The following is a 25798-nucleotide window of genomic DNA, read 5'->3' as shown; positions in this document are numbered from 1 at the left end:
CTGACACCACGCAAACCTCAGAATCAGCAGCTACTAGGACAAAAGAATTCATCTACCTTAGAAGAATTAGAAATTACTTAACAAAATTAGATAATTTCATCTTCAATATATTTTTTGGTCTTGGAAAAGTAGACTCCTAACAGATAATGTATTTTCATTGCTATCAGAGGATATTAAAAATGCATTTTAAATGAAAAAAGCAAGGTATAGCATGTATATGGTATGTTGTTATAGTTACCATTTGTCTACAAAGGGGAAAAAAGAATATATAGATATGTAGTCACACAAAAAACTGCTAATAATTGCCACTGGCTAGCAGGAAGAACGGGGTAACTATTAAGCTGAGTAGGAGGAAACTTTTTCCACTATATACTTTTTTTTTTTTGAGACAGAGTCTTGCTCTGTCACCCAGGCTAGAGTACAGTGGCACAATCTCAGCTCACTGCAACCTCCACCTCCCAGGTTCAAGCAAATCTCCCGCCTCAGCCTCCCAAGTAACTGAGATTACAGGCACTAGCCACCACGCCCAGCTAATTTTTTGTATTTTTAGTAGAGACGGGGTTTCACCATGTTGCCCAGACTGGTCTCGAACTCCTGACCTCAGGTGATCCACTTGCCTCGGCCTCCCAAAGTGCTGGGATTACAGGTGTGAGCCACCATACCTGGCCTATACTTTTTGAACTTTGGAATTTTGAAGCTTATGAAAGTATGGACCTATTAAAAAAATTTTTTTATCTGGAATAAAAAAAACTACCCAAAATAATATTACTGATTTTTAAAAATCTATGTCTAAGGTAAACATATATGCTCAACTAATTTTTCTTTTCTACCTTCTAGGAATCATTATCTACTAAATGATGTAAAATGCAAAGGATACAATTTAGCAATATTTATCAAAAACCTATAGTATTTACTGTTGAACCCAGAAATATCGCTTCTGAGAATTTATCACGTAGGTGCACAACTTACCCACATATGAAGTATCTTACGTAGAACATTACTCATTGTAGCATTATTTAAAAGCACAAGAATGGAAAATATTTATGTGTCAATAGGGGACTGATCAAATATACTATATAGTATATCTACACAATAGAATACTCTAGCTATAAAAAAAGAGTCTCTAATAAAAAAAGATCTCTGGATATATTGTTAAAATTCAAAACCAGTACAGAAGAGTATAAACAGCAGACTGTGGAAAAGCAATGGGTGTCTGGGTGAAGGGCGAGTAGGTGGTAAATAGCTCTTCTCCAATAGGTTTTGGAACTGATTTTAGCACTATGTAAATGTATTACTCATTCAAAAAAATTTCTAATGTAAAGATTATTTACACAGTGAGAAATATTTTAAACTAAGAAACGGTACTCTGTTTAGGAGGAAAATAAGTGACCCAATGGGCTAAATAAAAGTAGCCTTGGCCTATTACCTAATTTGAGATGGGAAGATAACTGGTATTTCATTTAAAACAATTTGAAATTTTTATCTTACCTATATTTCATAATTTCCACTATATCCTCAGCGTCTTCTTTGGTTGCTTCCTCTCTCAATTCCAACCTTGCTCGTGCCTTTAAAAGAAAACACCATTTTCAGATGACGAAAGATGAATATATTTACCATAGTATGTCTAAGCTTTACTTCATTTACTTGTTTTACACAAAAACTGACCTTTAGGCGAGGAAGGTTATAACATCAAAAGTCAAAATATGGAAGTAATTCTCTGGGCTGGGGGTGGTGGCTCACGCCTATAAACCCAGCACTTTGGGAGGCTGAGGTGGGAGGATCACTTGAGCCCAGGAGTTCGAGACCAGCCTGAGCAACAAAGTGAGGACCTGTCTCTACAAAAAAATTTTCAAATTAGCTGGGTGCGGTGGTGTATGCCTGTAGTCCCAGCTACTTGGGAAGCTGAGGTGGGAGGATCCCTTGAGCCTGGGAGGAGAGGCTGCAATGAGGCTTGATCATGCCACTGAACTCCAGCCTAGGTGACAGAGGGAGACCCTGACTCAGGGCAAACAAACAAAAAAAATCTGTGAAACCTTGACTATGAAAATTACAACTCACTTAAAATAAGGATAAACCTCATTTTTACTTGTTAACGTATATTTCTGAGTGATCATTTCAGGAGATTTGATGATGAAATACACTTGGTTTTCCCTTGCCTTTTACTTTTAGGAAATCATACCTAACCAATATGGTAAAACAACAAAGAAGAATTAATCAGATTTTAGGAGCAAAAAGCCCAAACTCTGAGCTAGCTAATTTTTACTGCCAGAGTTCTCTTAGTATTTCAAACTGTGAATAGATATTACTGCTGTTAAAAACACAGGAACTATCCTTGTGGACCTGTCATGTAAAAAAATAAAATACTCAAGATACCTGACACATTCCATGTTCCCATATACTCAACTTGGGTCTCATACTCCTAGTTAACCTAACCACTTTTCAGATATTCCAGGAGTCTCCTAAGAGTCAGTCAAAGAAAAACAAAAGAAAAGTTGCATGCTAAGTAATTGATTCTGTGACTAGAAAGAAGTAGCTATACTTGGATATGTTATAGACATGACAAAATCTTTTAAAAAACTTTCATCCATCCATTTCTAACATCTCTCTATAGAAAGGAAAATGGAGTCAATTATGCAGAAAATACTTCAAAAGAGAAGTCAAGGCACACCCTTCCCCTTTAAGCCAAAAAAAGCATGACCATAAAAAGAAACAAACCTCTGTCAGACGAATCAAAGATTCCAGCTGCCTGGTAGTGATTGGTGAGCTATTTAACCTCTGGCTCTGTTTCCGGAGCTCAAGGTAAAAATCTTGAAGAACTCGAGCAGCTTCTGTGGATAGCCTTGGGTACACATACTGCCGAGCATAGCCAATGTACTTTCTCAATAGCTGGTGGGGAATGGGATCTATTGTTTCTCCAGGAACCACCTGAAGCATGATTAAAAGGCCCAAGATAACAAGGATAAGTAGCAAATAAAATATTTCTGCTAAAATAACTTGTTTAGGCCAGGTGCAGTGGCTCACGCCTGTAATCCCTGCGCTTTGGGAGGCCAAGGAGGACACATCACCTGAGGTCAGGAGTTCAAGACTAGCCTGGCCAACACAGCAAAACCCCATCTCTACCAAAAATACAAAAATTAGCCGGGCGTGGTGGCACGTGCCTGGAGTCCCAGCTACTTGGGAGACTGAGGCAGGAGAATCACTTGAACCCGGGAGACAGAGGTTGCAGTGAGCCAAGATCACACCACTGCACTCCAGCCTGAGCGATAAGAGTGAGACTATGTCTCAGAATAAATAAATAACTTGTTTAGATAAATATACAATTCTAAAAGACTCTCCAAATCAACCAAACACTTTATCTGTAGGTCTCATCTTAGCTGACTTAGATTCCTTTTTTTTTTTTTTTTTGAGACAGTCTCGCTCTGTCACTCAGGCTGGAGTGCAGTGGTGAGATCTCAGCTCACTGCAACCTCCGCCTCCCAGGTTCAAGCAATTCTCCTGCCTCAGCCTCCCAAGTAGCTGGGATTACAGACACGCACCACCATGCCCAGCTAATTTTTGTATTTTTAGTAGAGATGGGGTTTCATCATGTTGGCCAGGATGGTCTCGATCTCTTGACCTCATGATCCACCTGCCTCGGCCTCCCAAAGTGCTGGGATTACCGGCATAAGCCACCACGCCAGGCCGACTTGGATTATTTCAGATGAAGTTTACGTAAACTCTAGTATGGAAATATTAAAAAGTTCTGGTAAAAAAAAAGTTTGTATCCTACTGCTCTACAATAAGCCACACACTGAACTTTGACATTCAAACAGAACCAAACTGAATAAGGAGAAGAAACATTTATACCTTTAGTCTTTCTGATAATGGCTTCTCAGAAACTACTTCAAGTACGGAAGTATTTGAATCTTGACTATTCATACGAGCTACTGTGGCACTGCTAATGGTTCTCTGCTTTCCAGCTCTTATTGCAATCACATGTTCAGAGAGTAAGTGATCATGATGCTCATTTGGAGTATCTAACAGGATAAAGACCAAATCAAATCTGGATAGTAGTGCACTCCCCATTCTATGAAGGATGAAAGAAAGAAGAAACAATGATTGGAATCAAAAGGAAAAACTAGAAAACTGTCTACTCACTTATTTACTACTCAAGTTCCACGCAGAACTTGAAAAACCAAGATTTAGGTTAAAGAAATAAGCAAATAGCTTCTTGGATTCGATATATCCAACCACTGCAACATGGGCACAAGAATTACATGTATCTACCCTGGGTAGGTTGAGGACATGGCTCTTTCTCACACCCCCAAACCCACTGAATTCTTCATGTCCTATTATCACTAATTGGCAATACTGCTACATGACATATCAGAGGTTAGCTAGTTCAGTATTTTGTTCATGATACCATTAAAAAACAGAATCCAAGTCTGCTGGATTTTTGTTCAATAGATCTTTCTGATTTTTCTAATATAGCACTTTGTCATTTTACTAAAGAAAAACTACTAGTAGGTTGATTTTTTTGGTGGTGGTGGTAAATACCCTAAATCTCCAAGTACACATTGTGTATTTCACTATGTATCAAAGACTGTTTCTATATTGATACATTATTAAACAACAAGAAATTAACTCCACCCCCACTAGGCTTAAGGCTCTAATTTTTCAGGAGGTACTCTTTTGTCTTTTTCTCACTTTTGTATCACTTAAATATATTTTTCCTTTTCCACACATTTTGTCCAAGCTGTACAGAATGAATTAGAAGAGAAAGCATACATACAGATATAAACATTGTTTTTGAAAAAAGCAGGATCATACCACATATTTAAGTTTGTTAATGTGCTCTTCTCACTTAATAGTACAGCACAGACATGTTCCCCCATTAGTACATATAAAGCCACTTTCGTTCTCATAATCACTACAGTCTTATTATAGTTTTAAGGTGTTTCCAATGTTTGGCAGCAATAATGCTGCAATACCCATGCTATAAACCTATCGTTGTGCACTTGTATGACTATTTCTGTGAACAGTAGTCCTAAAAGTAGAGTGGCTATAACAAACAGAATGTGCATTTAGAATTGTGATCAACACACCAAGGGGTCCCACAAAATAATAAATTGTGTATGTGAGAAACAATTTCTTTTTCTTTTTTTTTTGACATGGCGTCTCACTCTGTCACCCAGGCTGGAGTGTGGTGGCACAATCTCGGCTCACTGCAACCTCCACCTCCCAGGTTCAAGCAATTCTCCTGCCTCAGCCTCCCAAGTAGCTGAGATTACAGGCGGCTGCCATCATGCCTGGCTAATTTTTGTATTTTTACTAAAGACGGGGTTTTGCCATGTTGGCCAGGCTGTTCTCAAACTCCTGACTTCAGGTGATCCACCTGCCTCAGCCTCCCAAAGTGCTGGGATTACAGGCATAAGCCACCCGCCCAGCCACTGAGAAACCATTTCCACACTACTTTGCCAAAAATGATTAATATTTAAAATGTTTGCCAATCTGGTGGATCTCATTCGTACTTCATTGTTTTACTCTGCAGTGTTTAAGCACATTTTTGTGCATTTATTGGACATTTATAACTTCTGTGAAATATCCATGTTTTTCCCCTGTAGTTCTGTGAACTATTTCTTTTTCTTATTGAATTAAAGTGATTCAATACATTAAAGGTATAAATATTTGAAGAGACTTACTTTAAATTCTCAGAAACTGTTTTGGCTTTATTGTAATGTCCTCCAACTGGATTTGCAGCAGCAATAATGGAAGTTCTTGCAGGAAGGCTACAAACCACACCAGCCTTAGCAAGACTAATACTTTGCTGCTCCATGGCTTCCAACAAGGCTTGATGTTGATTCCCCATCTTATCAAATTCATCGATTCCACAAATACCTACAATCGAAGTAGAATAAAGCAGAAAAAACATTTTTTCTTTGGTCAAGTTCCAAATTTTATAGGATAGAAATTGTTTCACAATAATTATTTCCATTTGTTTCAGCAGTTAAAATTATAAAATGTCATACAATGGAGAATTACTGTTTGTTCTGCAGCAAGTTAATACATTTGTCTTATTTAACTAAGTTTTGTGTAATAGTTCTTCCTTTAGCATTTTTCATACGCACAGCACTATGTTGTGAGGATTACAAAAACGAAGAGGAGGTAAGAGTAATTCTCAAAATGCTTAAGGAGTTAAATTCAAATGGGTGTGATGTTACATACACACACAAACACACATGCACAATTTAATAAGTATACCTCAATACACATATAGTAAGTTTATTATGTTTAATAAGTATATTTCAAAACCTATACCAGGTATTGACTATACACTTGTATGCACTTATAGGGAAATCACTTAATCTCTTTAAACATAATACAATGCACCACCACTAACTAAAGGCACTGTATGTACCAGGAATGTCATGTCTATTGCATAAGTTATTGGAGATTCTCTAACATTACCTCGTAATGCTTGTCTTCCTTTCTCCCCATACCAGTTAGGTTAGTATCTGGGGGTCACATCTGAAGGGCTTTGCTGTGGTTAAACCCCTCCGTATCTACTCTATACCTAAGTAAGCCTTACTAGCACAGAGGAGTATATGGAAAATAACTGCTGATTAGTCTTTTTGATCCCCAGCTGCTAACCTAACTGGTATGGGGAGCAGGGAAGACAAATATTGTAAACTAATGTTAGAGAGTCCCCAATAACTTGTGCAATAGACATGACATTCCTGGCACATACAGTGCCTTTAGTTTATTTCAACAGATTTTCTTCTATCCTTGAATCCATTTCTGGTTTCATGTTTGGGTTTTCTACTTCATGGAACCAATTATGTTGAATTTCCTTTGTTCTCTATCTCTGTTACTTCCCCTCTAATTGTATTAAGCTTTGTTCTTTTGCATTCACTGCAATTATCTCAAGCCTTTCCTCTTTATAATTTCTCATTCAGCAGTGTCAATTTTATATATTAGTTTAATAACATTGTTAGTCATCAATTTGTCTCTCATAGCCTTATCTTTTTGTTTTGAGCTATTTCATTAATGTTCTTATCAAACATGAAACACTCATGGGAAATTTTCATTTGTTCCTTAGATTATAATTTTGTCTACAGTGAGGTCTTTTACTGGGCATATTAAATGTCTTTCTTTCTTCCTACGTTATTTCTTCACAGCTGCTATGCTGTCTCTTTGCCTTGCTCATGTATAATAACGGCTGCTCTGTCCAAACCTATTTCTTCCGACACAGTATATATGAATTCTTGTCAATACGCTTTTCCCAATGTAATTTTGACCCATTTTTTCCTTTCCAGCTACAGTTTGCACTTTTTGGTAACGTAATGATTTAGGAGGGGGAAGCAAGGGGGGCTTTGTTGAACTTTGTGCCACCTTTCTTGCTGATCTCTTCTGAGAGTTCACCCCCCTCTGTTGGGAATGTGTCCCATATTCATGGCAGGGGATCCCAGTGCATTAGCCTGTTCCTGCTGTTCAATGTGGAGCTCTGGGACATAGTGAGCCTTCCCTGCCTGTGCTAAGATCCTAGCAGTGGTAGACTCACAGGCTTTATCTCCACCTTTCCCTGAGCTGCCTATTGCTCCGTCTGCCTATACCTCTCTGGATTCATGGTATTACTGGAAATTATCAAGATTGCTAATGCAATTCCTCAGAGATGGGGTAGGAACAAAGTCAAGCTACTTCCTACTTTGGCTGTCACTTTTCAAAGTATAAAGCAGGAGCTGGTAAGCCTTTTCTGCAAATGTGCAGAAGTATATATTTTAAGTTTCACAGGCCATGCACAACCTTACATATTCTTGGGCTTTTCTGTTTGTTTGTTTGTCCTTTACAATCTTTTAAAAATATATAAGCCAGTTTTAGCTTGTGGACTGTACTAAAACACACTGTTGGCTGGTTTGACCTATGGACCAAAGTTTAATGACCCCTTGTTTTAAAGCATAAAACATAAACTTTGAACTTTTTTTTTTTTTTTTTTTGAGAGACAGAGTTTCGTTCTGTTACCCAGGCTGGAGTACAGTGGCACCATCATGTCTCACTACAACCTCCATCTCCTTGGTTCAAGCGATTCTTGTGCCTCAGCCACCTGAGCAGCAGGGATTACAGGCATGCGCCACCTCACCCAACTAATTTTTGTATTTTTAGTAGAGACAGGGTTTTGCCATGTTGGCCAGGCTGGTCTCAAACTCCTGGTCTCAAGTGCTCTGCCTGCCTCGGCCTCCCAAAGTGCTGGCATTAAAATTTTTTTAAAAAACCTCCAAATCACCTTCTACTTCTAGTTAATGAAGTTGCATGGTTTCATGAGTATCATCTTTTTATTACTATATTTTACCTGGTAACTTAGCAAAGATATTCTCACTTCTGATGAGCTATATAATAACGAGATACATGTTTTTGGTATTTATTTATTCAGCAAATATTTACTAGATATAAATGCAATAAATTTATAAATTCAATAAACTGAATGCCTTCTATATACCAGTACTATGTTCTAGGAATGCCGAGTATGGCACTGAAAAGACAAAATTCCCTGCTCTTGGAAGCTTATGTTCTACTCAGCCAATAGGGGGTCCAGGCAATAAAAAAGTAAACAATATAGAAGGTAAAAAGTGCTATGGAAGGAAAAAGTAGATTAGGGTAAGGAAAATAAGGTCTGCTAAGGTGCAGCAGGGGCAGGGGAGGTTATAAGTTAAAATACGGTATTTAGGGAAGACCTCACTGGGGTCAGGACAGTTCAGCAAAACATTAAGGGGGAAAGAAAACAAGCCTTTGCAGCTCTATCTGGGGTAAGAACATTCCAGGCAAACAGAACAGTAAGTACAAAGGCCCTTATGAGGAAATGTGACGTGCCTGGTGTGCTGGTGGTGTCCAAGGCAGAGCCACCAATGGAGCTAGAGAAGAGGAGACATGGGAAGCAGCAGATAAGGAGGCAAAAGAGGTGAAAGGCCAGAACATGAATGGCCCTGGGCCACTCTCAAGACTTTGGCTTTCACTCTGAGCGAGACGGGCAGTTACTGGAGGGTTATGAGCAAGAGTAACACAATCTAATTTTTAATGAGATTACTGTATTAAAAACAACAGGAAGGGGCAAGCGTGGTTACAGGCATGCCAATTAGGAGATTACAGTAATAATCCATGTGAGACATGATGGTGCCATGGACCAGGGTAATGAAGAAGTGGTTAGATAGCAGATATATTTTGATGGTACAGCCAACAAGATTTGCTGACAGATTAATGTGGGGTATGAGAAAAAGTCAAGGATGGCTCCGTGTTTTCTGATTTGAGCAATTATAATGAGAGTTGTCATTTACTGAGATGAGGAAGACTGTGAAAATAGATTTGAAAGGCAAAATCAGGATTTTAATTTTAGACATGTTAAGTTTGAGAAATTTGTGGAGATACTGTGTAGACAATAAGAAGTATGTGCCTGATATTTAAGGGAAACGAGATTATAAATTTAGAATTTTTCACGGATAGGTAGGTAAAGCCAATGAAACGATACAAGATCACCAAGAAGGTAAATACAGACCCAGAAGACAAAAGGTCCAAGAACTAAGCACCTTAGTTAACAACAGGTAAGAGGTTGTGGAGATGAAGAACCAGTAAACGACTGAGAAAGAAGTAAAGAATGAAGTAAAGTGGCCTGGAAACCAATGAGAGTTTCAAGGGTCTCAAGGAGGAGGGAGTGATTAACTGTGTCAAATGTGGCTACCAGGTCCTGGGTTCAGAATATGGAAGTCACTGGCAAACCAGAAGGAATGAACGACCTTAACTGGACTGGAATCTGGACACTGCCTGACACATGCATGGAAACATGTTTTCCCAATAAGGTGAAGGCATCACAAAGAGAAACTTAGGTGACAAAGCCCAATGTAGAGGTTTCTTCTTGCTGGGCCCTATGCCTGGACTTCTTACCACCTGTCACTCAAATCCTGAAAAAAAACCAATGAGTTCAGTTACAATACGGCAAAACTATTCATTCTGAAGTAGGCCAGGTGTGGTGGCTCACGCCTGTAGCCTGTAATCTCAGCACTTTGGGAGGTGTGGTGGGTGGATCACTTGAGGCCAGGAGTTCAAGACCAGCCTGGCCAACATGGTAAAACCCCGTCTCTACTAAAAATACAAAAATTAGCTGGATGTGGTCACGCACACCTGTAATCCCAGCTACTCAGGAGGCACGAGAATGGCTTGAACCTGGAAGGCAGAGGTTGCAGAAAGCTGAGACTGCACCACTGCACTCCAGCCTGGGTGACAGAGCAAGACTCTGTCTCATAAAAAGAAAAAAACATCGAAAGTAACACCTGTAATCTCCTATTGCAAGTCCTCTGTGAGCAAAGGATGACATCCACCTTTTTGTCAGTGCCAAGGTTTCCAAACTATTTAGAGCTAAATCATAGTAACGCATTCAATAAGTATTTACTGTGCCCCTATGTACTAGGCAATGGGAACATGGCAGTCCACAAGACATCCAAATCCCACCATACAGGGAGCTTACTACAAAGCTTCAAAACAGGCTTTTAAAAAAAATGATCACAAATATGATAGGTGGTATGAAATGGGAAGTTCAGGGAGCTACACATATTTATTTGATTTTTACATATACTTGTATCGGCTATAAGATTCTGAAAATGAATGACATTAAGTACAGTTCCAATTCTGTAGTATAAAAATGATGATACTGCATTTCCAATGATTATTTCTGACAGTGTCAACTTACTGGTTAGGACTTTGCTATCTAAATGTTTCTCTTAAACAGAATGTAAAGAAATTAACTGAAAAGGAAAAGGCTTTTCAAAAAGTCCCAGAATCACTAATTATTCCCTTTGGCCTCTCACCTTGATCACCAAGTACCAGGGCACCAGCTTCCAAAGCAAAATCTCCAGAGGAACTATCTTTTGAAAGAGTTACCGTCAGACCAGAGGTGGTCGTGGTGTTACCACAAACATACACGCCACGTGGGGCAACATTGCACGCTGCCTAAGGAAACAAAAAGTTTAAGAGAATCATCCAAAGTAAAAGGGAAGTAATAGCTAACAGCAGTTGCTCACAAACGTTAGGTATATGCTAGGTATTCTTTTAAGAGCTTTAGTGTACAAGGTGCACCATCACCAGCAGAGAAAGGTATTATTATATCCTGATTTACTGATGTCAAAACCAAGGCCAACAAAGAGTGAATGAGGAACTACACAGCTATCAAGGTGGAAAGTCAGGATTCAATCAAACCCAGGCAGTCAGATTCTGAAGTCTGTGGTCATATAAATACTCAACACAATTCCAATTTATGCTTCATTTTCAAGTTCGAAAAGCAAAAACATGAGTACCAATTTTAATTTTGAAGGTTCCAATGCTTCTTTAAACATCAGGTAATAAAGTGACTTAATACATGCTCACCTTCTGAGCAAACATGCTATAACAGGCCAGAAAAGTAAACAGCACAAGAGTTAAAAGCATAGCTCTCTGGAGTCAGACAGACCTGTTTAAATCGTGGCTCCACCATGCACCAGCTGTGTGGCTCTCAGACCTCTCTGAGCCTCAGCTTCCTTATGTTTTATCACAGCATTGCCCTGAACAATAAATGAAATCATGTATGAAAGGCATTTAATTTGGTACCTGGCACATAAGTGCCCAATGTAAAACTGCCGTGTATGGCAGTGCACTGCCCAATTCTAGGGGACAGTATTCACATCTCAAACACCCACTGTTATCCTATGCTGCTGGCTCAATAAATAGTAATTATCATTATTTTTGTTACTTATATAGTCTTTCTGAGAAACCTTATAACACACAGAGTATGATGGTTTACTAGGTGGTAAGAAGAAAACACAAAAATATAAAGTAAATGGTTCATAACAGTTGGTGTTAGCCTAATTTTTAATTTGTTTTGTTATATTTATTATTTTTGAGGCAGGGTCTCACTCTGTCGTCCAGGCTGGAGTGCAGTGGCACAATCCTAGCTCACAGCAACCTTGAACTCCTGGGCTCAAGTGATCATCCCACCTTGTGATATCCTACCTTGTTTTAACCCGAGTGACTCTCTCCTAGCAGAGAGAGAGCCGGACAGACTCCATTTTAGCTTCTTCACTTGTAAACCCTTTCACCTCCCTCCAGGCATAGCTAGTGTAAAACTGACTCAAAGCACGTCCAGGAATGCACCTGTTGATGAGATGCTGAGGCGAGTTGCACCAGCAGCTCCTGGGGGCACGCGCAGTGCATGGCACCCAAAACCCCTACATTTATCTCTTTGTGATAGTTTAAGCCCCGGTACCTGGAACTGTTTATTTTTTTGTAACTGCATTTGTAACCAATTAATTTTTTTAACTTTCTGCCAGTTCTGCTTCTGTAAAAATTGCTTCAGCTAAAATCCCCCCTCCCTATTTAGACCATGGTATAAAAACAAAACTAGCCCCTTCCTCGGGGCTGAGAGAATTTTGGGCGTGAGCTGTCTCTGGGTCGCTGGCTAATAAAGGACTCTTTAATTTGTCTCAAAGTGTGGCGTTTCTCTATAACTCGCATGGTTACAACAACCTCAGCTTCCCTAGTAGCTGGGACTATAGGAGCATGCCACCATGACTGGCTAATTAATTTTCTGTAAGAAACAAGGTCTCACTATGTTGCCCAGGCTGGTCTAAAACTTCTAGGCTCAAGTGATTCTCCCACTTCAGCCTCCTGAGTAGCTGGGACTATAGGCACATGCCACCACACCTAATTTTTTTTAAAATTGTTTTTAGAGATGGGATCTCACTATATTGTCCAGCTTGGTCCTCCTGCCTTGGCCTGCCAAAGTGTTGGGATTACAGGCATGAGCCACTGCACCCAGCCTGTTAGTCTCGTTTTTAAAAACCCTGGCTTAGTGTGGCTTACATGCCATACTCTATTCAGGATGTTTAATTTCCACTAACATTACAGATTCTATTTTTAAATTGAGCCAAAGGCATTATTCCAGGTCTGAAAACAAGAAAAACTGCCAATGTAACTTCTTGGTATTAACACTTTCAATACCACTGGACACATTTTAGAACAACTATCTGCCAAGAAACATTTATTAAAAAAAAAAAAAGGCCAGGCGTGGTGGCTCATGCCTGTAATCCCAGCACTTTGGGAGGCTGAGGCGGGCGGATCACAAGGTCAGGAGATGGAGACCCTCCTCGCTAACATGGTGAAACCCCGTCTCTACTAAAAATACAAAAAATTAGCCGGGCGTGGTGGTGGGCGCCTGTAGTCCCAGCTACTTGGGACGCTGAGGCAGGAGAATGGCGTGAACCCGGGAGGCGGAGCTTGCAGTGAGCCAAGATCATGCCACTGCACTCCAGCCTGGGCGGCAGAGCGAGACTCCGACTCAAAAAAAAAAAAAAAAAGAGCAAAAAAAGGAAGTTTTATATACTGCAAGCAGTATGTATAAATTATGAGATTTGTACAGATAAGACACTCTAGGGGTTAAAACAGGCTCCCACCTATAATTCACTAATTCCAAAGTTACACACACGAACAGGTATACCACACAAAAGACAGAAAAGAAAGCTGTAACAATTCAGATCCCCACTTGCATCTTTTCCTACATATTCTAAACATAATGTTTTCTTTTTTTTTTTTTTTAAAGACAGGGTCTTGCTCTATTGCCCAGGCTGGGGTACAGTTGCATAACGATGGCTCCCTGCATTCTCCAACTTCTAGGCTCAAGCAATCATCCTGCTGCAGCCTCCGGAGTAGCAGGGACTACAGGTGTGCGCCACCATGCCCAGCTAATTGTTTTCTTTTTTGTAGAGATAGGGTCTCACTTTGTTGCACAGGCTGGTCTTGAACTCCAGGCCTCAAGTAATCCTTCCGACTTGGCCTCCCAAAGTGTTAGGATTACAGGCGTAAGCCACTGCACCCAGATTCCTGTTCATGATGAGCTTTGTTTCACCTGTAAGGGGTACCCTGAGCCTCTGTTGTCAGGCTACATTGTAGCGAGGTCTCAGAACAGAATTTATTTTTTAAAAAGTAGCCCCAGATGGCCAAAAGGAACCAAACATAGATGAAATATCTATGGAATTATAATAATATCTAGGAATTAAAATGACTGGTTTAACACTCAACCACAGGCAATAAAGGATGACTCAGATATGAAGGACAGTGGGTTTATAATGTAATGACAAGATCAAAGCAGTTCTCAAGGCTGGCTGCATATTAGAATCATCTGTGGACTGTTGTACACATATAGACACTAGGACCCTAACTTAGAAACTCTTAACTCAATTGGCTTGCAGTGGGCTATGGTATTTTCAAAGAGCTCCAAAAGTAATTAAGATGTGCAGCCAGGATCCCAATCCTTGGAAAAAGATTTAGGAGCCATACTACTACAACTTACTAAAGGGCCAGAGAAGCCCTGGTCAATTTTCCACATCGAGTGAAGAAGGGGGCCACAGGCATTTTTAGAAAGCACAGTGGCCAAGCACAGTGGTTCACACCTTTAATCCCAGCACTTTGGAAGGCTAAGGCAGGTGGATCTGCTTGAGCCCAGGAGTTCGAGACCAGCCTGGGCAACATGGCAAAACCCCATCTCTACAAAAAAAGCATTAGCCAGGCATGGTGGCACATGTCTATAGTCCCAGCTACTTGAGAGGCTGAGTTGGAAGAATTGCCTGAGCCCAAGGTGGAAGCTGCAGTAAGCCAAAGTTGCGCCACTGTACTTCAGTCTGGGCAAAAGAGGAAGACCTTGTCTCAAAAAAATAAAGTAGAAAGCACATTACGGCTGGCTTACCGGTTGTCACTTTAAGGAAACTACAAGCATACCAATAAGCAGCACCTTCTAAAGCCATCATAAAACCCAGGAAAGGAAAACCACTAGGCTCTGACTGGCAGAGGCAGAATTTTCTTGGGGATCTACAAATGACTGATCACAGCAGTTGCCTTGCTTTGGACAGAGCGTGGTGGCTCACACCGGTAATCCCAGCACTTTGGGAGGTTAAGGTGGGTGGATCACTTGAGGCCAAGAGTTCAAGACCAGCCTGGCCAACACAGCAAAACCCTGTCTCTACTAAAAATACAAAAATTAGCTGGGCGTGGTGGTGCGCACCTATAATCCCAGCTACTCAGGAGGCTGAGGCACAGGGATTGCTTAAAAGTGGGAGGCAGAGGTTGCAGTGAGCCCAGATCATGCCACTGCACTCCAGCCTGGGCAACAGAGTGTGACTCCGTCTCAAAAAAAAAGGTTGCCTTGATTTGGACTCACAAGCAGTGGAGATATATACAGACAGATCCCACACCTTTAGCAGACTGTTCTTAAAGCCCAATACAGTGTTTATGTACTTGTATGAGGGAGAATAGGTGACCCTGCTTTAACTCCCCTGAACTATTCTGTTCATAGGTGAGGTCACATAACAACTAACAACAACAAAGACTAGCAAAACAATGGTTAGAGAAATGGTTAATATTTCCTAATAGTTGATGTCTCAACAGACCAAGATGTTTGTACAGCCTCTGTAACAGGAGACTGGCTCAATTTAAAAATATGGTCAGATATAAGTTACATATTACTCACACAAATTCCAATTCATTTACGCCACCTAACCATGTCCTCTGGAACACACACACTACATGCTTTGAGAAAATTCACTTGTGAATTATTAACGCATTTTACAAGCAAAAGAACAAACACTAAATGACTGATTGTCTACCTGTAGCATTTGACTTTTTCCTAGGCCTGGATCTCCAACAACAAGGATGTGGGGGTCTCCCCGAATTGGAATTCTGTTTTTGTCATCTGCGTATTTCTGGCTTCCTCCAAAGAGTGCTAATGCCAAACCTGCTTTAACAAGCTCAAGTGCGAAAAAAGAACAAAAAACAGAAGTAAGGAAAACATAAAGGTGACTAGTAAAGGGGGTATTCCTCCTTCTATAATATTAATTTGTTTGGGGATTGTTTTAAAAGCATGATAATTTTTTTCTAAGAAAAGGAAGTCTAAAAACAAACTTCTATCACGTAAATGATTAAAAAGTAAAAACTTGAAAACATATAAAATCAGAGCTATCTTAGAAATTACTAAGAGCTACCTTGCAAGGCATAAATCCATTCCACAAAAACGAGAAATATTTGTTTTTGCTTTAATACTGGCAGTGTCTAGTCACTTTAAAAGCCCATTTCTTACCAAAAGTAGCTGGGTCTGGTGGCGCATGCCTGTAGTCCCAGCTACTCGGCAGGCTGAGGTGGGAGAACTGTTTGAACTTGGGAGGTGGAGGTTGCAGTGAGCTGAGATCGCACCACTGTACTCTAGCCTGGGCGACAGAGCAAGACTCCATCTCAAAAAAATAAATAAATAAAATAAAAGCCCATTCATATTTACTCTAGTTGGTAAAAGTTTTTTCTTAAAAGGAGCTATACGGCTGACACCTATAATCCCAGCACTTTGGAGGCTAAATTGGGTGGATCACTTGAGGCCAGGACTTACAGACCAGCGTGGGCAACATGGCAAAACCCCATCTCTACAAAAAATACAAAAAAATTAGCTGCACATGGTGGTGCATGCCTGTAGTTCCAGCTACTCAGGAGGCTGAGGTCAGGAGGATGACCTGAGCCCCAAAGCTGGAGGTTGCAGTGAGCCATGACTGTGCCATCACACTCTAGCCTGGGTGACAGAGCAAAACCCTGTCTCAAAAAATTAAAAAAATTAAAAAAAAAAAAGCTATAGTTTGCTTGCCTCCCATATCATTAATTTACAAAGCATATTAAGATATAAATAACTGGCCAATAGAAATTTGCTACTTTCTGTAAAGTTTTTATATGTTATTTTTGCTAACCTTATATACTTTTTGAGTAAAGATGAAGTAAAATACTTACTTCATGACCAAAAATGACAGGGCAAAGCGAGCTGAAAAACAGAACACAACTTATAAATTCTAATTTATACTTCATTGATCCATTAGGAGATCTCCTCTACAATTTGTTTAACCTGCTTAATATCAACAAAGACAAATGTAAAAAATTTACATCCCCTCAACTGAAATTTTATTCTTACAGTACATTTCTCAAAGTTCTTGGTTAATCTATAAAGGTTAGAATTTTTTAAAAACTCTGCATAAGGAACAGAGGATACTTGCAAAGCATCTTAAAGTAACTAAATACAATGTTGCTCTTCTTACACAACTAGCCTTAAAATGCGTCACAATCATGGTCTTCCATTTTAGGATACGGGATTATATTGTATTTTATGTGAACAGACATCTTGAGACTGTGCAGCCAAGTCACTGAAAGGAGACTGAGAAGTGAACTCAGTATATAATACTCTAAGATGGGATAAAATTTCATTTTTTTCAGTTCAAGTCAAAAGGTCAAATTAAATAAGAAAATGAGGCCAGGTGCAGTGATTTGTAGAACCAGAAAGTCCAGAAAGGTGGGATAACTCAAAGCATGGGCTTCCAGCCTACAGGTAAATCTAAACATTTTCTGGTTGACAATTGGTTGAGTTTGTCTAAAGACCTGGGATCAATAGAAAGGAATGTTTGGGATGCAAGAGGTTGTAGAGACCAAAGTTTTATCATGCAGATGAAGCTTTGGCTAACAGGTTTCAGAGAGAACAGGCTGTAAAATGTTTCTTATTAGACTTAAAATCTGTGTTGATGTTAATGCCAGAGAGGTATAATAAGGCATGTCTGACCCCCACTTCCCTTTGTGGCCTGAATCAGTCTTTCAGGTTAAATCTTAAGAGCCCTGGCTGAGAAGGAAGTCTGTTTAAATGGGTGGGGGGCCTTGGAATTTTATTTTTGGTTTACAGGTTCATGCCTGTAATCCCAGCAAGCACTCTGGGAGGCCAAGGTGGAAGAACTGCTTCAGCCCAAAAGTTCAAAACTAGCCTGTGCAACAAAGTGAGACCCCGATATCTATAAAAAAAAAAATTAAAAATTAGCCAGCCATGGTGGCATACACCTTTAGTCCTAGCTACTTGTGAGGCTGAGGTGGGAGAATAACTTAAGGCCAGGAGTTTGAAGCTACAGTGAGCTCTGATTGTGCCACGGCAATCCAGCCTGGGCAACACAGCAAGACCCTGTCTCTAAAAAAAATTAAGAGAAAGAATATAAAACAGTACATTTACATTTGTCAATTTTATAAACAAGGAACAAACAAAAATAGGGTGGGAGAGAAAATCAGGAGTAAAACATGAGTCTTTATTCCCTTTTAATATATGTAAACACAGAAGGAGGTGGTGGTGTGCTCATATCCCCTTGGCACTCACTGTTCAGTATGTTCCGGCTTCCTACTGGCATCTGCACCTGTCTGCCAAAGACCTTTCTATGGCCACACAAGCATCATTGGCAGGCAGGATGGGCAGGCCAGAAGTGCTGAGGTGTTTAATACTCCTGGGGGCAGTCCCAAATGTAGGCCCTTAAATGGAAAAATACTGAAGCTGGCTTTCCACAGTGGAGTTTTCCACTGGCCCAGGAGGATTATGTCCCAGATGCTAGTGGGTCACCTGTTCGTTAAGGCACCTACACTGGCTGCCATCATTTCCCTACCAGTAACTCCAGAATCACCTCCCAAGTAAACTATGTTGATCCAAATCATTGCTTCTGAAGGAACCTAAACTAAAACATAAACTTCTACTGTCACCTAGGCTGGGTTGACAAACTTTTTCTTAAAGGGCCAGAAAGTATTTTCAGCTTCACAGGCTATACTGTCTCAGTCACAACTATTCAACTTGTAGTGTGCAAGCAACTGTGAACAGTAATGTAAGTAAACTGGGTGGGGCTGTGTTTTAATAAAATTTGACTTACAAAAACAGGCAGCCTGCCTAGTTTGCCAATCTCTGCTAGACTGATAATAGAGGACCATGAAAAATTCTAGTTTTGATGCTGAAATCACAAACATGGAGGGGGAAAAAGCAAACTGTGGGAAGAAAACTAAAGTTTTCCATACTTACTCTTCTATAAGTATGGGAGAAGAGGGACCACTAAAAATGTTCAGTTTTAATTTACAACTGTTAAGAGGAACCAAAGATGTTTGGATTGTCGACCAGGTTGCTTCCTTGGCCACCTGCTCAAAGGACTCACTCCAAGACCACCCCAGCAACGCTAAGTTAGAGCAGCCTCTCTTCCAGGGTGGGTCTGAATGGCTTTTATTCAGAGGGAAGTAGGATTTAAGGACAAAAAACCCCTGTGGAGCACTATTCTTTACTCAGTCAGCTAATTAACATATTAAAGCCAGAAAGAAAAAGCATCAAATCCTCTTACAGACCTGAGCCTACTGAACAGAAAAGCATGACAAAATCACTTTTTTTTTTTTTTTTTGTGAGACAGAGTCTTGCTCTGTTGCTCAGGCTGGAGTGCAGTGGCGCGATTTCAGATCACTGCAACCTCCGCCTCCCAGGTTCAAGAGATTCTCCTGTCTCAGCCACCCAGGAAGCTAGGATTACAGGCACCTGCCATCATGCCCAGCTAATTTTTCTATTTTTAGTAGAGACAGGGTTTCACCATATTGGTCCGGTTGGTCTCGAACTCCTGACCTCAGGTGATCCACCCGCCTCGGCCTCCCAAAGTGCTGGGATTACGGGCTTGAGCCACTGTGCCTGGCCAAGATCACTTTTTATAATACAATGCATTTCAAAACGTTCTCAGTTCTTTACCTCTCTTAGATATATCTATTATTCAGTCTCTCTCATTTTCTCCTATTTCTTCAAAATTACCCCACAGTTGTCAAAAAATTATCAAAAGTAACAGTATGTTGCAGTAGTTATGTTAAGTACATTATAAAATCCCACTTAATCTTTAGAACAACCTTCTGAGGTAAGTCTTATTATTTCCATTTTAAGGTGATACAAATAAAGGGGAAATTAAGTAATATGTCCCAGATCACACTGGAAGTAAATGCCCAAAGCAGGAGTCTAACTTAGGTTTGTCTCCAAAGAAAAGCTCTTAACCACTAAAGCAAAAAATGCCTATACTTTGCTGCTTCTCCACGGCATGGCAATAGCATGGAAATAAAATTATCAAATACTTTTTGAATATATGTTAATTCGATTTGAATCTCTATGAGCAACACCCTACACAGAACTAATTGAAATGGCTTTGGAATTCACTGTTCCCTCACTCTTCCGTTGAGTGACAAACTTCTTGTATAAGATAGTAAATATTCTGTATTGTTTAAACTAGAGATCAGCAAATTTTTTCTATAAAAGGATAAAGCAAAAATATGTGAGCCATATATATGTTCTCTGTCACAACTATTCAACTCTGCCACTGTAGCACAAAAGCAGCACACTTATGTAAATGAATGAGTGTGGCTATGTTCCAATAGAACTTTATTTATGGACACTGAAATCAGAATTTTTTTTTTTTTAAAGACAGAGTTTCACTCTTGTTGCCCAGGCTGGAGTGCAATGGCACGATCTTGGCTCACTGCAATCTCCATCTCCCGGGTTCAAGTGATTCTTCACTTCAGCCTCCCGAGTAGCTAGGATTACAGGCGCCCGCCACCAAGCCCGGCCAATTTTTGTATTTTTAGTAGAGACAGGGTTTCACCATGTTGGCCAGGCTGGTCTCGAACTCCCGACCTCAAGTGATCCGCCTGCCTCGGCCTCCCAAAGTGCTGGGATTACAGGCGTGAGCCACCATATCCAGTTGAAATCTGAATTTCATATAAGTTCATGTGTTGTGAAATATTCTTTTAATTTATTTCAACCATTAAAAAATATAAAAACCATTCTTAGTTCATAGGCCATACTCAAGGGGATGGAGTACTGTATTTGGTACATGGACTGTAGTTTGCCGACCATTTTGACTAGTTTTTTGTTACCTGTAGCCAAGAGAACCCCCAACATGCATCTATGTAATAAAATTTCAAATGACAGCATACATACTTGACAATGAGTTTAAACAGGTTTTCTTCAGCTTGAATCTCTTGGATGGCATAAAGGTCTTTAAGTGAGAACTCCATCAACATTCCATGCTTACACCCATCCTCAGAACTCTTTGTTTTCTGTCCTTTGCTATTACTAATAGAATTTGCTTCAATATACAAAAGGAACATACACTTGTCATTCTTATTTCGAGAACCTGTAAATTAAAAGTGTTAAATACAATAGTTGGTATTTTCATTTTCCCTACAATGACTCAACTAGAATATAAAACAAAGTCATAGGGAGCTACAAATACATGTTTTTTTAAAAGGGAATGTTTCATCTTATGTAAGCAACAAGAAATTCCTCAAATTATTTGAGGTTCAGGAGCATCTTAGAAAAGATGAACGTTGATGAATCATTATTGAGAGACAAATAATGAAAAGAGTTGTACCCTACCTTCTTCCGCATTTGAGACTTTGACAATTCCAGTAATAGTCACTGTGTCTCCCGGGACACAGCTATCCACAAGATCATGAACAAGCTCACATTCTATTGTTCGTGGAATCCGACCTGCTTCTCTCTGATCATCAGACATCAATTCCTGGATTCTAAAAAGTTTAAATAGTTTTCAGTTAGAATACTTACTTTGGATGGTTTCTGCAAGATATTAACTATTCAGGGTTCACATGATGCTGAGGAAGATAAAAGCAGATTTGCTTATTAACAGTTTAATGGTATATCTAAAATTACTTCAGCAGTTTCCAATTCAAGATAGCCAAATGAACATATGTATTTGCCTAGCCTCCCTCCAAAATGTCCACCAAAATGAGTCACTAAAAATTTGGGGGTATGTAGAGGTATCATCAGCAAATGAGATATTAATGAAATTTTTGAAACCAGCAAATGGTAAAGTATTGATGGATAAAACAAAATAAAGTCCAGAATACACATGGGCAAAAGCTATAAGCGTACAAGCAAAGTGGGACCCAACGTTCTTAGCAGAGCCCCAGAGAAGCTTCCAAGTTGGATGTGGCAGGAATAGAGAGCAGGAGTAGATGGCTGGAAGAAAACAGTAATCAACCGAAAGACAAGTCATGGAATAGCTGTTGAGAATTTTTGGAGAAGGTGAGTGGACAGGTGGGTAGGGGAAGAATGCGTACTTTATCATCTGGCAAAAACCAGAGCACTGTTCTAAGGAAACAAACCCATCCCCTCTGTGAAGGGAGCTAAACTGTGCAGTGAGAATATCAGAGCTTCAGAATAAAGACTCTTCATTCTACCATCTGAGAAACCCAATTCCAATTCAAAAACACATTCATAAAGCAAAATCTGATAGCCCAAACCCCTATCTTTGTATTTAGAGGTAAAGTCTTGTGAGAAAAAACTACTACCTAAAAAATTGCAAAGGAAACCTATCCTACCTACTTCAAATACTTTCTCATTCCTCATCAGACATTTGAAAATTAAATGGCAATAATTCAGGGAGTATTAAAAACAAACTGCCTAAGAGTTTTGAGAAAATATTGCCATGATAAAACAGGAATAAGCCACTACAAAAAGGGAACAATGGGGAAACAAGTACAAAATCAAGAAAATTTAAAGCATGTATATAAAAATCAAGCATTTATAGAGAAGATATAAGAAAAAGCCAAAGAAATCTAGAAAACAGAACAAAGAAAATGAAAGAATGAGGAAAAACTTAAAACAAATAATCCAAGCAATGCATCTGATAGGAAGCTGAGAAATCAGTCAGATATTCTAGAGTTGAAGACAAAAGATCCTGCCAATCAAGCAGGATAGAGACAACTAGATACACTTTCACTGTTTCACAGCATGATAGATAAAATGGTTACAAAGAGGAGGAAAAGTCCAGTCCTCAAAGGAATGAGAATCAGATGAGCACCAGACCTCTCATAAACAGCAGAGAAAATTAAAACCAAATAGACTTCAATAGCTAGCAAACTCTTAGCCAGACTAAGATCCAAATAAAGACATTTTCAGACATGCAAGGGCTTAGAACTTTTTACCTGTCCTGTATACTTTCTGAAAATTTACTTGGGAATATTCCTTAGAAAAAATGCAATGAAGCAAGATCCCAGGATGAAGCAGGAATGCAGGTCTGGAGAACTACTGATCCAGACTCAAGCAGAAGGAAGGTGTGTTTTTTTGTTTTTGTTTTTTAAGAATAAAAGGTGGATTCCATGTATTCCATAGTATATTGAAGAGAGAATGGAAAATTATGGTGAAATGGTACAGGCATACTCTAAGAAGTAAAACCAGCACTTAGAAACCTTAGGAAAAATAAAGTACTAAATGACAAAGTTACAGTCCAAATATGATGCACACTAAAATGTGGGATAATTCCAAATAACTAGCAGAGTATAAGAAAAGATAATTTGATGCTTGAGTCATTTTCATTTAAGGGGTAAAAACCAACAAAACAAAACCCAGTGACATAAATTACAGCTCCTTTGCTTGGCATTTGATCATTCATTTGGTTCTTTGTTGAGCTATATTTACATTTTTATGTTAATAAAATGGGAAGGGAAAGGAGTAGAAGGACCGCCATAATAAGGACTTACCAGACGAAAAGGGGTGTTTGATATTGGGACAAAGCTGGAGGTTTTATGTTAATTATTCTGGTAATAAAGTTAATGGCCCCTAAAATGGAAGAGACAGTGGAACGTGAAGATGGTCAGATCCACAGAGGCTTGTGCATGTGCTAGGTTTTTTGCTAAGGGGGGATAAACTGTCCAGCCAGTTCCAGCACTGGCTTCGACCACTGAAGACGCAAGTAGGAGTAGAAAAGATGGAGGGAGAAGTCAGAAGCTCATATTATTTATCCCGGGGAATGCCATATCGGGCATTTTTATTAACATAAAAATGTAAATGCCTGTTTATTGTTTTTGTTAGACATGACCTATAAATAAACTCTGGAAGACAATTATAATTAGAAGACAAAAGGTAAACCTTGACAATTTAAAGTAATGTCGGAACGGAGAAAGTCTAGAAGATAAAAGAACAAGTATGTTTCTAATGTCCTCAGCTCACATAGAATGACTGCAGTAAAGCGAAGGATGAAAGACACAAGAATGGTATCTAAAGTTATGTATAATGTAACAGCAAGTTGTGGGGACTGTGCCTTTCCACACTGATTGAATTTTTAAAAACATGCACATGTTATTAAAGCTTTTTTTACTTAATTAATGTAAGTACAATCATTGAACATTAAAATAATAACTTTGGAATACATTCATCATACATCTAGACTACCTCTCAATGTTTTTCAGGTCATGGGCCAGGCGCTGGCATCCACCTAACCTGCACGACTTCAAACCTTGCTCCAAGATCACTCACCACTTCACAATCAATTCACCCCCCACACCCACTTTTTTAAGATGAGTCAAGTGCAGTAGTGAGAAGGGAGGAAAGAGTAGAACAAGAAGTTTGATCTGTAAGTGACTGTGAATAATCAACTGAAATAACTTACTACCTCCAGACTAACCCTTTGTCCCTCTTAAGTGGTAAAAGTCCCACAGACTAGGTTGGAAATCAGGCTCTACCATACTCATAGGCCACACGATCATACTCAAGAGTCTTAACCATTTCCTCTTTTATAAAATGGGGTGTTTGTAAAGATCTCACTATAGTACAATTAATTATTATATATGTTGGTCTTAATTTTTCAGGGAAGAAGGGGGTGAAGCAGTTAGCAGCAGATCATCTTATCTTTTCCCTAGGTTCTTAGTTCTTAGGACCATCTCATTTCAGCCAGGTTTGCTAGAGAGCACTGACTTCAAAACCATTCATTATTTTATATTTAGGGATGAGCTATAGATCTACAGCTAGAAAAAATGTAATCAATTATGGGATGAAAAACACATACACAAAGAAAACTCTGACTTGCAAAAAAAAAAAAAAAAAGCTATTAAAAAACCCTATAGTAAAATGCCCCATTGCAACATTGAGAACATAAAATGAAACATGCCATTTCAAAGGGAGTCTTTATTTGAAAACTTCAAAACAATATTATTTCTATCACAGCTCAATATGGAATGAAGCACACAGCTTTGCTTATGGCCTATATCCAGTTCAATTAATCACATAATTGAGATATAAAATCAACTATTTCTCATTAGGACACAATATTTGCATAATGAATCCTTTCTGGAATCTGACAGAGAATAAATTTCAAATAAAGACAATTAGGCTAGGAGCGGTGGCTCACGCCTGTAATCCCAGCACTTTGGGAGGCTGAGGCGGGCAGATCACGAGGTCAGGAAATCAAGACCATCCTGGCTAACACGGTGAAACCTCTAAACTAAACCTCTACTAAAAATACAAAAAAATTAGCCAGGCATTGTGGTGGGCGCCTGTAGTCCCAGCTACTCAGGAGGCTGAGGCAGGAGAGTGGCATGAACCCAGAGGGAGAGCTTGCAGTGAGCCAAGATCGCGCCACTGCACTGCAGCCTGGGTGACAGAGCAAGACTCCGTCTCAAAAAAAAAAAAAAAAAAAAAGAATTATTTTAACATACAAACTCTTCATCAAATAAACCATCTATTATACACTATTATACACTTTGTCATTTAGATAAAACGTACAATATAATACAGTAAAATTATGGATTTTCTCAACAGTGTGACATCTAAAGCCTGCCTTTTATGTAACAGTCTGATCGCTTACTTGATTGACTGCCAGTCCATCGTAACTGTGAGAGGAGAGCTGCGGAGAGCAGTAAATGACCTGCCTCGACACACAGGCACAGGACACTGAATGAAACAAAAGTAATTCACATTCAGATTTTGATAAACTATAATCACACCTCAGGAAAATTCAGTTAAAACATTTCATTTAATATTGTTTTAAAAGTTGGTCTCAGGATGCTAGTAAAGTAAAATCCACTGAGAGATTAATGACTTTCTATTTCCTCCTGCAACAATTTAATATCGACAGCTTTTGAGGCACTTTCCAATTGATCCTTCTCACTTACTGTT

General features: G+C 39.4%; 1 protein-coding gene across 10 annotated transcripts in view, besides 1 other annotated feature; it reads right to left on the bottom strand.

The window, feature by feature from the left end:
- Positions 1-25798, bottom strand: part of MCM8 (minichromosome maintenance 8 homologous recombination repair factor) — a 48326-nt gene that overhangs the window by 10131 nt on the left and 12397 nt on the right. For 2 of the 10 annotated variants that reach the window (NM_001281520.2, NM_032485.6), the window contains exons 8-17: positions 25488-25573; positions 21260-21411; positions 20822-21017; positions 16810-16840; positions 15651-15791; positions 10830-10971; positions 5682-5877; positions 3847-4066; positions 2716-2925; positions 1489-1565 (exon numbers count right to left, since the gene is read on the bottom strand). In NM_001281520.2, the coding sequence (NP_001268449.1) occupies positions 1489-1565; positions 2716-2925; positions 3847-4066; positions 5682-5877; positions 10830-10971; positions 15651-15791; positions 16810-16840; positions 20822-21017; positions 21260-21411; positions 25488-25573 (1451 nt within the window). Of the gene's footprint in view, positions 1-1488; positions 1566-2715; positions 2926-3846; positions 4067-5681; positions 5878-10829; positions 10972-11467; positions 11559-15650; positions 15792-16120; positions 16272-16809; positions 16841-20821; positions 21018-21259; positions 21412-25487; positions 25574-25798 lie in introns of those variants that run through there. The other 8 variants (XM_017028105.2, NM_001281521.2, XM_047440552.1 and 5 more) reach the window with 6 other exon arrangements.
- Positions 18823-19389: an enhancer, noted in NCBI's record as "OCT4-NANOG hESC enhancer chr20:5950104-5950670 (GRCh37/hg19 assembly coordinates)". NCBI's record gives its function as "activates a minimal SCP1, AML or CMV promoter by ChIP-STARR-seq in naive and primed H9 embryonic stem cells {active_cell/tissue: H9 hESC(naive and primed)}" and the evidence as "EXISTENCE:reporter gene assay evidence [ECO:0000049][PMID:30033119]".

This window comes from Homo sapiens, chromosome 20 (genome assembly GCF_000001405.40).
Source record: "Homo sapiens chromosome 20, GRCh38.p14 Primary Assembly".
NCBI lineage: Eukaryota > Metazoa > Chordata > Mammalia > Primates > Hominidae > Homo > Homo sapiens.
This window is presented reverse-complemented; position numbering and strand designations above follow the sequence as displayed.